Genomic DNA, 13,438 nt, shown 5'->3' with positions numbered 1-13,438 from the left:
GTGCTCATGGGGCAACGGACCTATTACGGTTATAATACTGGCATGAAAACACACACAATGGAAGAACAGAGCTCAGAAACAAATCCAAACTCATGGTCAACTGATCTTTGACAAAGGTGCCAACATCACACAATGGGGAAAGGACGATCTCTTAAATAAATGCTGTTGGGAAAACTGGATATTTGCATGCAGAAGAATGCAACTGGACCCTTATTTTACTTCATAGAGAAAAATGAGGCCAGGTGCGGTGGCTCACCTGAGGTCAGGAGTTTAAGACCTGCCTGGCCAACATGGGGAAACTCCGTCTCTACTAAAAATACAAAAATTAGCCAGGTGTGGTGGCAGGAGCCTGTAATCTCAGCTACTGAGGAGGCTGAGGGAGGAGAAATCACTTGAACCTGGGAGGTGGAGGTTGCAGTGAGCCGAGATCGTGCCACTGCACTCCAGCCTGGGTGACAGAGTGAGACTTGGTCTCAAAAAAAAAAAGAAGAAAAAGAAAAAAAGAAAAATGAAGTCAAAATGGATTAAAGACATAAAAAGTAAGACCAGAAACTGTAAAACTACTGGGAGAATACATAGGGAAAATTCTCCTTCACATCGCCCTTGGCAATGAGTTTTTAGCTATCACACCAGATCATCCTACAAAAGCAAAAATAAGCAAATGGGACTACATCAAACTAAAAATCTCCCACACAGCAAAGGAAACAAAATGAAAAGGTAGCCTATGGATTGGGAGAGACTATTTCAAACCATATATCTGATAAGGGGTTAATATCCAAAATAGGGCTTGGCATGGTGGCTCACACCTGTAATCCCAGAACTTTGGAAGGCCGAGATGGGAGGACTGCTTGAGCCCAGGAGTTTAAGATCAGCCTGGGCAACATGGTGAGACCCCATATCTACAAAAAATTGAAAAATTAGTCGGGCATTGGCCGGGCACCGTGGCTCACACCTGTAATCCCAGCACTTTGGGAGGCTGAGGCAAGTGGATCATGAGGTCAGGAGATCGAGACCATCCTGGCTAACAGGGTGAAACCCTGTCTCTACTAAAAATACAAAAAAAAAATTAGCCGGGCGTGGTGGCACGCGCCTGTAATCCCAGCTACTCGGAGGCTGAGGCAGGAGAATCGCTTGAACCCGGGAGGCGGAGGTTGCAGTGAGCCGAGATCACGCCACTGCACTCCAGCCTGGGTGACAGAGGGAGACTCCATCTCAAAAAAAAAGAAAAGAAAAGAAAAGAAAAATTAGCCGGGCATGATGGCATGTGCCTGTAGTCCCAGCTACTTGGGAGGCTGAGGTAGGAGGATTGCTTGGGTCCAGGAGGTGGAGGATGCAGTGAACTGTCATTGCACCACTGCACTCCAGCCTGGATGACAGAGCAAGACCCTGTCTAGAAAACAAACAAAAAAAAACAAACAAAAATGACAAAACATAGAACTCAAACAACTTAACAGCAAAAAACCAAACAACCCTGATAATAAATGGGCAGAAAACTTGAACAGCCATTTCTTGATAGAACACATACAAATTGCTATAGGTCTGTGAAAAATTGCTCAGGATCACTACTATTATTCAGGGCAACAAAAAGTTAAACCACAATGAGATATCACCTCATACATGTAAGAATGGCTTTTATTAAAAAACAAACAAAAAAAATAACATGTTGGCAAGGCTGTGAGGAAAAGAGGACCCTTATACACTGTTGGTTAGAATGTAAATTAGCCATGATGGAAAACACCGTGGAGATGCCTGAAAAAACTAAAACTATCAGATGACGCAGCAATCCCACTCTGGGTATATATCCAAAGAAAATGAAATTAGTATGTCATGGCGATACCTGTGCTCCCGTGTTCACTGCAGTAGCATTATTCACAGTAGCCAAGATAAGGAATCAACCTACATACTCATCAGGAATTAATAAAGAAAGTGTGGTAGAGATAACACAATGCAATGCCATCCAGCCTTTATAAAGAAGGAAATCCTGTTATTGTGACAACATGGGTAAATCTGGAGGACATTGTACTAAGTGAAATAAGCTAGACAGACAAATCCTGCATGATGTCATTACATGTGGAGTGTAAAAAAAATCCAACTCACAGAAGAAGAGAGGTGGTCGTCAGGGCCTGGGAGGGTGATGGGGAATGAGAAGATTAAAGGAGATAAAGTGGGAATAATTTCTGGAGATTTATTGTCTAGCATGGTGACTAAATATAATGAATAATATTGAATATGCCAAGAGACTAGATTTAAATGTTCTCATTGCAAATATGATTATCAGTGAGTTGAGGGAGGGATATGTTAATCAGCTTGATTTAATCTGCAGTATAAACACAGATCAAAGCCTCTGTAGACCATAAACATACACAAATTGCCATTGAAGACAGCTGCCAACCTCTGCCCTAGATCCAGAACTCATACTCAACATTAAACCATATGGTTTCTCACAGTTCACACAAACGGGGAACTGAAGAAAAACAGAAGCTGTCCGCCCAAAGAAGTCCAAGTGAATAGAACAAATTTCGATTTACTGCATATTGAAAAACATCTCTGCCTTTGATGACACAGAAATTAGCTCAAACTCCGCTCTTAAAGGCCTCACAAAACTGACAACTTTGCCAGGTACAGACTAAACAAACTAACTTTCTCTTTTCTTGTGCTCTAAAAATCAGTCCCATGGAAAAGACCAAAGATATCTGTGTTTGACTCCACCTAAAAACGAATCCCCTCCTTACCCAAGCACACTGTAAAATAAAGCGCGCTAACATGAACCTCTAGGAGGGAGTTGTTTTTTTTTTTTTTAGGGGGGATTTTTCTATACCATCAGATCTTAGAAAACCAGAGCACACAGCAGGATGTCAACAATTTGACAAATGGGTTTGTGGATACTCAAAGGAGAGGGCTGGTCAACCAGGGGGTACAGAGAGGAATATACCTGCCTGGCCCTTGCCACATCCCCTGGGGAGGAATTACTGGGATAAATTGCTATTAGGGAGGATATTTGGGGCCATAAAGAGTAAAGAGTCCTAAGTCATATAAACACAAATCATTTAATGAACAAAAAAGGTAACTCATGTGGAGAGCCGACTTTCAGATATATAATATTAGGTCAGTGCAAAAGCAATTGACATTAGACATAATGGCAAAAACCGCAATTACTTTTGCACCAACCTAAATAATAATTTTTTTTTTTTTTTTTTTTTCCCCCTCAGGATGCTTTTTCTGAAGGATGCCAGCCTAGGGGAAAGGAAGAATGAGAACCTAGGGTCTTTCTGGAGCACAGGCTGCATTAGCAAATACCCTCCAGGGCACGCCTGTCCCCAGGCCACAGCCGAAACCAATCCGAATGGAGAGGACACTGGCATTTGTGAGTTTCAGAGTTCTTGGGGACTAACGTGTATTTACTGGATTCTAGAACACGTGATGCTCCCGACACTCACCTACCAAGTTAGTCACCTCTCCCTCCACAAGGACTCCCACTCCTGAGGCTTCCCGTTACTGTGACACAGGAGCCGGTACGGAGAACACGTCCGGCTTGAACACTTATCTATGACAATGGCTGTGCCCTTTGTGTTGGTTCAGTTAATGACAGGGTCCTGGCTCTCATGTCCCACTGGGGGCCGCTGCTCTCAGGCAGGTACCACACTGTTGGAAGGTGAAGGCAGAGGAAGCCCAGAGACAATGGAAATACAAGTGGCAGACTGTGAGTCAGTGACTGATCTAGGACTGTGGCTGGGTGATCGGGAGTGTGGCCTACTGAGTGTCCATGAGTGGATGTGACTGGCGCTGTGTCACCCCAGCTGGGACCCCGTCTGGCCTCTTGAGTGGGGTGATGCCGGGCGAGCCACGGCTGTTCTCAGAAGGGTATCCTCTCCTAGGCCCTCTGGGGCGTCACCTGGAATTCTCTGCAGGCCACAGCACAGGCTGCCCGAGCTGCTGTTCGGTGCCCCTTGCTTGCTGGATTGTAAACAATGTGCAGGCAGCAGTTATGCCCCGTTAGTCACGCTCTCATTCCAAGTACTAACGTCACAGGGTGTGGCATAGTGCGGGCCCTTAACAAACATCTAATTTTGACTCAAAATTCCACATGTGGAATTTATGGGTCCAGGAGGAGGAAACAGTTAGAAAGACAAGAAAACAGAAGTACATAAATGTATGTGAAAGAGCGATCAAGAAAAATTTTTTTCTAGGTAAGTTATTTTTCTAAAAAACTGAGATAACTGTAGATTCACATGTAGTTGTAAATAATAATACAGAGAGATCCAGTGCACCCTTAACCTGACTTACACCAGTAGTGATACCTTATAAAACTACAGTACAGGCCGGGCATGGTGGCTCATGCCTGTAATCCCAGCACTTTTGGAGGCCAAGGCAGGCAGATCACAAATTCGACACCAGCCTGGCCAACATGGTGAAACCCCGTCTCTACTAAAAATACAAAAATTAGCTGGCTATGGTGGTGGGAGCCTGTAATCCCCGCTACTCAGGAGGCTGAGGCAGGAGAATTGCTTGAACCCAGAAGGTGGAGGTTGCAGTGAGCTGAGATTGTGCCACTGCACTCCAGCCTGGGTGACAGAGAAAGACTCCGTCTCAAAAAAAAGAAAAACAAAACTGCAGTACAGTATCACAGCCAGGATAGTGACACAGATTCCCTCCTTGATCTTATCTATGATTTCCAGAGAATACAGTTTCAACAACGAAAAAAATAGCAGTATCTCACAGTAGAGGATGGGTTAAATTATGGTCTGCTATATGATGGCATGGAATACTAACAATATTGATTCTTTTTTTTTTTTTTTGAGACGGAGTCTTGCTCTGTCGCCCAGGCTGGAGTGCAGTGGCGTGATCTCGGCTCACTGCAAGCTCTGTCTCCTGGGTTCACGCCATTCTCCTGCCTCAGCCTCCCGAGTAGCTGGGACTACAGGTGCCCACTACCTCGCCCGGCTAATTTTTTGTATTTTTAGTAGAGATGGGGTTTCACCGTGTTAGCCAGGATGGTCTCCATCTCCTGACCTCGTGATCCGCCCACCTTGGCCTCCCAAAGTGCTGGGATTACAGGCATGAGCCACCACACCCGGCCTAATAATATCGATTCTTATTGAGAATTTTTTTTTTTTTTTGAGACGGAGTCTTGCTCTGGCCAAGCTGGAGTGCAGTGGCGTGATCTCAACTCACTGCAACCTCCGCCTCCCGGGTTCAAGCGATTCTCCTGCCTCAGCCTCCCGAGTAGCTGGGACTACAGGTGCATGCCACCACGCCCAGCCAATTTTTGTATTTTTAGTAGAGATGGGATTTCACCATGGTGGCCAGGACGGTCTCGATCTCCTGACCTTGTGATCTGCCCACCTCGACCTCCCAAAGTGCTGGGATTACAGCCATGAGCCACCGCGTCTGGCTTGAGAAAATTTTTATGATGAATTACCAAGTGAAGAAGGTAGATTAAAAAGGTGTATATAATTTGGGCAGAGATGTTTTGATGAAATTAAGAATACAGGTTGTGTGGTCTGACTTTAGAGATGTGAATCTGAACCCTGGCAGTTAGCCTCATAGTGTCTGTTTCGTCACTGATAAAATGTAATAAAAGTACTACATGGTATGATTGTTACAACTGGCAAGTATGATAATCTATGTAAAACACTCAATAATATGTGACATTTGTGTAATAGAAGTTACCTGTTATTATTGAAGACCAACTCATGTCGGCCAATCTCCTTGCTTTTTTTCTTTAAAAAAAGTTTTTCTTTTTATAGTTTTTATTTTTAAAAAATTCATAATAAGGCTGGGCGTGGTGGCTCATGCCTGTAATCCCAGCACTTTGGGAGGCCAAGGCAGGCGGATCGGATCACGAGGTCAGGAGTTTGAGACCAGCCTGGCCAACGTGGTGAAACCCCGTCTCTACTAAAGATACAAAAAACTAGCTGGGCATGGTGGTGCGCGCTTGTAATCCCAGCTACTCAGGAGGTTGAGGCAGGAGGATTGCTTGAACTGGAAGGTGGAGGTTCAGTGAACCAAGATTGCACCATTACACTCCAGCCTGGGAGACAGGGCGAGACTCCGTCTCAAAAAAATAAAAAAATTCATAATAGAGACAGGGTCTCACCATGTTGCCCAGGTTGGTCTTGAACTTGTGGGCTCAAGCGATCCTCCTGCCTCACAGCCTGCCAAAGTGCTTTGGATTACAGGTGTGAGCCACCATGCCTGGCCCCCTCCTTTTTTTTCTAATGGTAAAATGTGCCACTGGGCGCGGTGGCTCATGCCTGTAATCCCAGCACTTTCGGAGGCTGAGGCAGGTGGATCACCTGAGGTCGGGAGTTCAAGACCAGCCTGACCAACATGGAAAAACCCTGTCTCTACTAAAAATACAAAATTAGCTGGGCGTGGTGGCACTTGCCTGTAATCTCAGCTACTTAAGAGGCTGAAGCAGGAGAATCGCTTGAACCCGGGAGGCAGAGGTTGCGGTGAGCCGCGATTGCGCCATTGCACTCCAGCCTAGGCAACCAGAGCGAAACTCTGTCTCAAGAAAAACAAAAGTGCCTTCCTTGAACCCGCTGTCTGCGTAATCAATATTAACCAAAAATAACATTCAGAGTCTGATGTTAAGAATGAAATTCATTTTGTTTAACAAAATGAATACATTAGCAAAAGAGATTCTAAGAAATATAACGAGGAAATGTTCCCTTTCCATCAGCAACTAGGGGGACAGAGACATTGTTCTGCATAAGAAAATCTAATTTAATGACTCTAATCTGAGAAGATGCCAAGTTGAGAACATTAGCAAGAGGCTGAATTTTGTGTTCCACGGGATAAGGGAGATACATATGAGATACTGTCATCTAATTCTTTTTCTATCTTGGAAATGTTACTTATACAGCCCATATTTGTTACTTGTACAAATAATCTTGCTAATGTCACATGGAAAGTCCGTATCTGCAAGGCACCCAGTGATTAGTGTTCATGGGTGATTATTGTGATGTCCTGGGAAAGGAACATTAACATTCTATAATCTAATTCTAAAAGGCTGTCTTTCTTGAAAATTTGTTACCATAGGTTAGATTCAGATGATGGATTTCTAATCCTACAAGGTAGAAATATGTGAGATATTTCAAAACAAGGCAAAGATCACTGGCATAGCCCTTCCCCTCCCAACACACACACAGGTGTAATGCGACTCATGGCTGGGTTGGATTCCTTTTATAAATTAAGATTTGGAGTCTCTGACTCATTTATGATGAATTAGCAAGATTCAATACTCCAAAAACAAAACACACACATGCTTAGAGGCAAAGAAGAGGCCTAGAAACATAAATACCATTTCAGATGTTTTTTTCTTGTTTTTTTTTTTGAGACACTGTCTCCCTTTGTTGCCCAGGCTAGAGTGCAATGGCTCACTGCAGCCTGGAACCCCTAAGCCCAAGTGATCCTCCCACAGCAGCCTTCTGAGTAGCTGAAACTATAGGTATGCATCACCATGCCTGGCTAATCTTTTTCAATTTTTTATTTTAGTAGAGATGGAGTCTCACTGTTGCCCAGGCTGGTCTCAGACTCCTGGCCTCAAGTGATCATCCCGCTTTGGCCTCCCAAAGTGCTGGCCATTTAAAATGTTCATCAGTGATTATCTCTGGATGGTACAATTATGGGTAATTTGGAGATTCTTCTTTAAGGGCTCCTTAGGGACTGTTTCTTTCTTTGCCCCCAGCAGGCCTGCATTAATCCTATTATAAGAAATATAACAAGATAGGAGCAGGGTACAGTGGCTGGTGCCTGTAATCCCAGGTACTTGAGAGGCCGAGGTGGGAAGACCACTTTAGCCCAGGAGATTGAGGCTGCTGTGAACTATTATCAACCCACTGCACTCCAGCATGGGCAACAGAACACAACCTTGTCTATAAGGAAAAAACAAAACAAAACAAAACAAAAACACATAAAAGAAGAAATATAGGCCGGGCACGGTGGCTCACGCCTGTAATCCCAGCACTTTGGGAGGCCGAGGCAGGCAGAGCACCTGAGGTCGGGAGCTCGAGACCAGCCTGACCAACAAAAGAGAAACCCCGTCTCTACTAAAAATACAAAATTAGCTGGGTGTGGTGGCGCATGCCTGTAATCCAAGCTACTCAGGAGACTGAGGCAGGAATTGCTTGAACCCAGGAGGCAGAGGTTACGGCGAGCTGAGATCACGCCATTGCACTCCAGCCTGGGCAACAAGAGCGAAACTCTGTCTCAAAAAAAAAAAAAAGAAAAGAAATATGATTATTGTTCTCTCGTTGCCTCTCTCAAACATGTCAATATGGTAATGCTGGCACCTATGATGATATTACCTTACATGGCAAAGGGGAATTAAGGTTGCAGGCGGACTAAAATTGCTAATGGGCTGACACTAAAATAGGGAAGATTATCCTGAGTTACCTCAGCGGGCCTAATGTAATCACCAGGGTCCTCAAAATGAGAAGAGGGTGAGATGAACAGAAAGAAGTAGGGTCAGAGTGACGTGATGGAAAAGGGACTTGGCCTGTCTTTGCAGCTTTGATGATGGAAGAAGGGGTCACAAACCAAGGCATGTGGGGCAGTGTCTAGAAGCCAGCAAAAGCAAGGACATAAAATACCTCCCACAGGGCAGGCTCGGTGGCTCACACCTGTAATCCCGCACTTTGGGAGGCTGAGGCCGGCTAATTAATCACCTGAGGTCAGGAGTTCGAGACCAGCCTGATCAACAAGGAGAAACCCTGTTTCCACTAAAAATACAAAAATTAGCTGCGGATGGTGACATGTGCCTGTAATCCCAGCTACTCGGGAGGCTGAGGCGGGAGAATCACTTGAATCTGGGAGGTGGAGGTTGCAGTGAGCCAAGATTGTGCCACTGCGCTCCAGCATGGGCAACAGAGCAAGCCTCCATCTCAATTACAGAAAAAAAAAGACTATCTCCTAGAGCCTCCAAGCACACACACCTCCTAGAGCTCTGCCAAAGAGCCTCCAAGCACACACATGTCCTCCGTGAGAGGACACAGCAAGATGGTGACAGTCTCCAACCTGGAAAAGGGCCCTCATCAGAACCTGACCATGCTGGTACCCTCTTCTCAGACTTCCAGCCTCCAGAACTGTGAGCAATAAATGTTTGTGGTTTCAGCCACCGGTCTATGGTACTTTGTTACAGACTAAGGTAAGAATAAATTAAGGAGTGTGTGCAAAACACAATAGAGTATGGTACAAAAATGCGCTCAATAAATGTGGCCAGGCTCCTCTCTTTTGAAGGATTCATGAATAATCCTAAATAATATACTAAAATGTCATGTTGGATAAGGTATTTACAAAAATCTTATTCAATGGAATTTGTAGGCAACTGAAGCATTTCCTTCATTTACTATTGTTAATAACTATTAGTAGTGTTTAATATTATGTCAGGTGCATTTTTCTTTCTTACGGTTATAACTAAACTTACTTCTTTGTAGCTGCAGAGTATTCCATGAAATGAACGTGGTATAATTACTTAACCATTTCCACCATCCTGAACAATAATTGTGGTCAAGGTACACAGCCTTCGATTGTAGACCAATGGGTCTAAATGTCTTTGGGGCATGTCCATCCTTCTTAATGCCATGAAATTACAGAGTATCTCCTTAGGGTGGTGGTGGTGGGGGACAGATACACTAACACTGATAATCACATACAGTAAATATACACAGAATGTCCCTTGGAAAGTTGTAAGTGGAGTTAAAGGCAGGCCCTCAGGTTAAGGATAACAGTTCTAGGCCATTTGAGGCTGTGGTTCATTTTGTGAACCTGCAAACACCCATCCCAGTTACCTTCATATGTACGTTGCTCCTGATGTACAGACATCCAGACTTAGCACAAAACAGCAGCACTCACTGTGCACTCCCACTCAGGGGTGCGCGTCTATGGGTTTTATGCGTGTTAATGCATTTCACCCTCCTCACAAGCCTATCTTCAGAAGGCTCAAAAAGCTAAGAGGCAGAAACAGGACTCAAATCTTGGTCATCTACCTTTAATGTTTGGTCTTAAGTCTTATAAACACATATCATTTAATATAAAAAAAAAAGGATACTCACCTGACCCTTTCAGATGTTTAACGATTCGTCTTCCTCCTCGGGGATGCTTTTTCTGAAGGATGCTGGCCTGGGGAAAACAGAACCGGAAGGGTAACACCTGCCATACCTAATAAAACCAATGAGAAATACGAGGCCCCGAGATGGAGTTTCTGGGAGATTCCTGAAGAGCACGCTGTGGCGATTGAGATGATGACGCGTGGAGCTGCCCCCCTCCCTGTCTCCCACATCAGGGACCTGTCCCTCTACAGGAGGAATTCTACTCCTGAGGCCACCGTCCCCTGTCACTCAGGTGGCCTGCATGCACAGCACTTCTGGCTCTGAAAGCGTCACCTCATGGCTGTTTCTGCCTTCTTGCTGGTGAATTTCCAGGCGAGGCTCAGGCGCTCACGTCCCTCCGCGGCCCTTGTTCTCAGGCAGGTACCGCTTGGTTAGGAGGTGAAGGCAGGGGAAGCAGCAGAGACGCTGGAGCTACAAGTTGCACTGTCACACACACCTGCATCACTCAGAAGGCCCGATCATCCATCCCAGCACAGAGACGCTGAAGCTACAGGTTGTGTTGTCACACACACCTGCGTCACCCAGAAGGCCCGATCACCCATCCCAGCACAAGTCTGCACAGCTCAGCCTCACCACAGCTCACTCTGTCCTGAGACACATCTGCGCCCCTCATACCCACTAACGCCCAGCACGGCCATGCTACGGGCCCCACCACCCCACACGGTGCAGAGGTGCATCCGTGGGCCACGGAGACCCGTCCCGACCGCTGCCCCCGCACAACCCCCAGAGCGCACCTCACGGAGCAGAGTCCCAGGGACGCACCGCCGAGGTTCACAGGCACGGGCTGCGTTGACCCAAAGCCTCTGGAGCACCCCCGGTCACCAGTTATGGGGAGAGCCCGGCTGTGTCACCCCACACTCTCCAGCAAGTGCGTCACCGTCAGAAGCCCCGTGCCCGTCTCCCCTCGGAGCCACGCGCACCAATCTCACCTGCGCGGACTGGCGGAGATGCAGCGGCTGCGTCACTGGTGCAAACGCGCACCCAGCACGGCCCCCATCGCCCCCAATGACGCTCGCGTGCACCCGTGTCACAGTTACGGGGACAGGGCCGCCGCGTCAGCCTCGTACTCCCACGCAAGTGCGTCACACACTCGGTCCCGCCACCCCCTGGAGGCCAGCGCGCATGCGCACGCGCACCCAGCGGCCGCAGCGCGCAGACAGCAGCAGAGCCCGACACGCATGTGCACACAGACCCCTACACGTATGTGCACGTACCCAGACCCCGACACGTATGTGAGCGTACACAGACCCCCGATACATAGCGTGCTCAGCTGTTGACGTGCCTGTGCGGGCACACAGACCCTGACGGGCGTGTGCGCACGCACAGATGCCGACACGCATGTGCAGACACAACAGAGCCCGACACACACGTGCGCCTGCACAGATGCTGACACGCGGACACACTGACACGTGTGCGTGCACCCCTCCCATCCCTTTCCCTCCTCCCACTCTCCCAAAGCCGCAGACGCACCCGGTAGTCCCCCAACGCTGGGGCCTCGGGAGAGGGTGAGGCTAGAAGAGGACGCGGGGCCGTCGGGGGAAACCAGAGCCCCAAGCCCCGTGTTCCAGCATGCAGCACGGCGTACTCCTGGATGGTCTCTGGGAAATGTAGTCCGGGACGGTCCCAGGCAGGGGCCTCAGGGCGCGTCCCAGGTCGGTGCCGGAGCGGGCAGCCCCAAGCTAAGCCCTTCCTGGTCCCTGCAGACGCCCCTTCCCGACTGGGAAAGGAGCTGTGTCACCCCAGCTGGGACCCCGTCTGGCCTCTTGAGTGGGGTGATGCCGGGCGAGCCATGGCTGTCCTCAGAAGGGTATCCTCTCCTAGCCCCTCTGGAGCGTCACCTGGAATTCTCTGCAGGCCGCTAGCACAGGCTGCCGGAGCTGCTATTCGGTGTCCCTTGCTTGCTGCATTGTAAACAATGTACAGGTAGCAGTTATGCCCCGTGAGTCCCGCTCTCATTCCAAGTACTAACGTCACAGGGTCTACAGGATGTTGCAGGTACTTAACCACAGTCTCATTTTGACTCAAAATCCCACTTTTTGGTATTTATGCCAAGGAAGTAGCTATAGTTGTACACAATGTTGAAGTATGTTCACAAAATGCTTTTTTTCTGAAAATCTTTTTCTCTTTTAATTAGATAGACTTTAGATTCATATGTAGTTACAAGAAATAAAATTGAGAGATCTTGTGTACCTTTCACCTGGTTACCTCAGCTGGTGATTGTAGTATATAATACCACAACCAGAAGATTAACATTGATGTAATCCACTGACGTTACCCAGAATTTCCAGAGAATAATTTTTTGTTTGTTTGTTTGTTTGTTTTGAGACGGAGTTTCGCTCTTGTTGCCCAGGCTCAAGTGCAATGGTGCGATCTCGGCTCACTGCAACCTCCGCCTCCTGGGTTCAAGGGGTTCTCCTGCGTCAGCCTCCCCAGTAGCTGGGATGACAGGCATGCGCTACCACGCCCGGCTAATTTTTTTTGTATTTTTAGAAGAGACGGGGTTTCTCTATGTTGGTCAGGCTGGACTCGAACTCCCGACCTCAGGTGATCCGCCTGCCTCGGCCTCACAAAGTGCAGGAATTACAGGCGTGAGCCACCACACCCAGTCGAGAATAATTTTTAAAAATGAAAATCTTGCAGTGGAGGATAAAGGAAAATCAGATTAAACCATGGTCTGTTATACAATGACATAGAGTACATTTCCTAATAATACTGACTCATTAATTAAGAAAACTTCTGAAGAATCAACAAGGGAAAAGGGTAGGTTAAAATGGTACATATAATTTGAGCAGACATGTTTTGGTGAAATTAACACAGGCTCTGTGGTCTGATTTGAGGGTGTTAATCTGAGCTCTGATAGTTATTAACTTCACAGTGTGGTAAAGTTTCCTCACTGGTAAAACCACAAGAAAGATAGTACAATGTATGACTGTTTGAACAGGATCATCCACATGAAACACACAGTCATATATAACAATTAAGATAAGGTAGCTGTTATTACTAAAAAATCAGTAACATATCTCAATCCATTTTCATAAAAGTAACAAGTCTGCTATTTCCTTTTAACTAGGGAGACAGAGACATGATAGTTCCTTAAAAAATCTAGTTTAAAGATTCTTATCAGCTAGGTGCAGTGGCTCACACCTGTAATCCCAGCACTTTGGGAAGCCAAGGTGAGCGGATCACTTGAGGTCAGAAGTTCAAGACCAACCTGGGCAACATGGTGAAACCCTGTCTCTACTGAAAATACAAAAATTAGCCGGGCATGGTGGTGAGATTGTAATCTCAGTTTCTCAGGAGGCTGAGTCAGGAGATTCGCTTGA

General features: G+C 46.7%; 1 protein-coding gene across 23 annotated transcripts in view, besides 2 other annotated features; it reads right to left on the bottom strand.

The window, feature by feature from the left end:
* Positions 1-13,438, bottom strand: part of ZNF331 (zinc finger protein 331) — a 77,035-nt gene that overhangs the window by 30,929 nt on the left and 32,668 nt on the right. For 11 of the 23 annotated variants that reach the window (XM_047439049.1, XM_047439057.1, XM_047439058.1 and 8 more), the window contains one exon: positions 10,059-10,125. The gene's annotated coding sequence lies outside the window, so the exon portion shown is untranslated. Of the gene's footprint in view, positions 1-10,058; positions 10,126-10,388; positions 12,035-13,438 lie in introns of those variants that run through there. The other 12 variants (NM_001253798.2, NM_001253799.2, XM_017026940.2 and 9 more) reach the window with 6 other exon arrangements.
* Positions 10,952-11,468: an enhancer, noted in NCBI's record as "H3K27ac hESC enhancer chr19:54041127-54041643 (GRCh37/hg19 assembly coordinates)". NCBI's record gives its function as "activates a minimal SCP1, AML or CMV promoter by ChIP-STARR-seq in primed H9 embryonic stem cells {active_cell/tissue: H9 hESC(primed)}" and the evidence as "EXISTENCE:reporter gene assay evidence [ECO:0000049][PMID:30033119]".
* Positions 11,117-11,166: an enhancer, noted in NCBI's record as "active region_15069". NCBI's record gives its function as "activates an Ori minimal core promoter by ATAC-STARR-seq in GM12878 lymphoblastoid cells {active_cell/tissue: GM12878}" and the evidence as "EXISTENCE:reporter gene assay evidence [ECO:0000049][PMID:35858748]".

This window comes from Homo sapiens, chromosome 19 (assembly GCF_000001405.40).
Source record: "Homo sapiens chromosome 19, GRCh38.p14 Primary Assembly".
Classification (NCBI taxonomy): domain Eukaryota; kingdom Metazoa; phylum Chordata; class Mammalia; order Primates; family Hominidae; genus Homo; species Homo sapiens.
The sequence above is the reverse complement of the archived record's forward strand: the minus strand, read 5'-3'. Positions and strand labels throughout refer to the sequence as shown.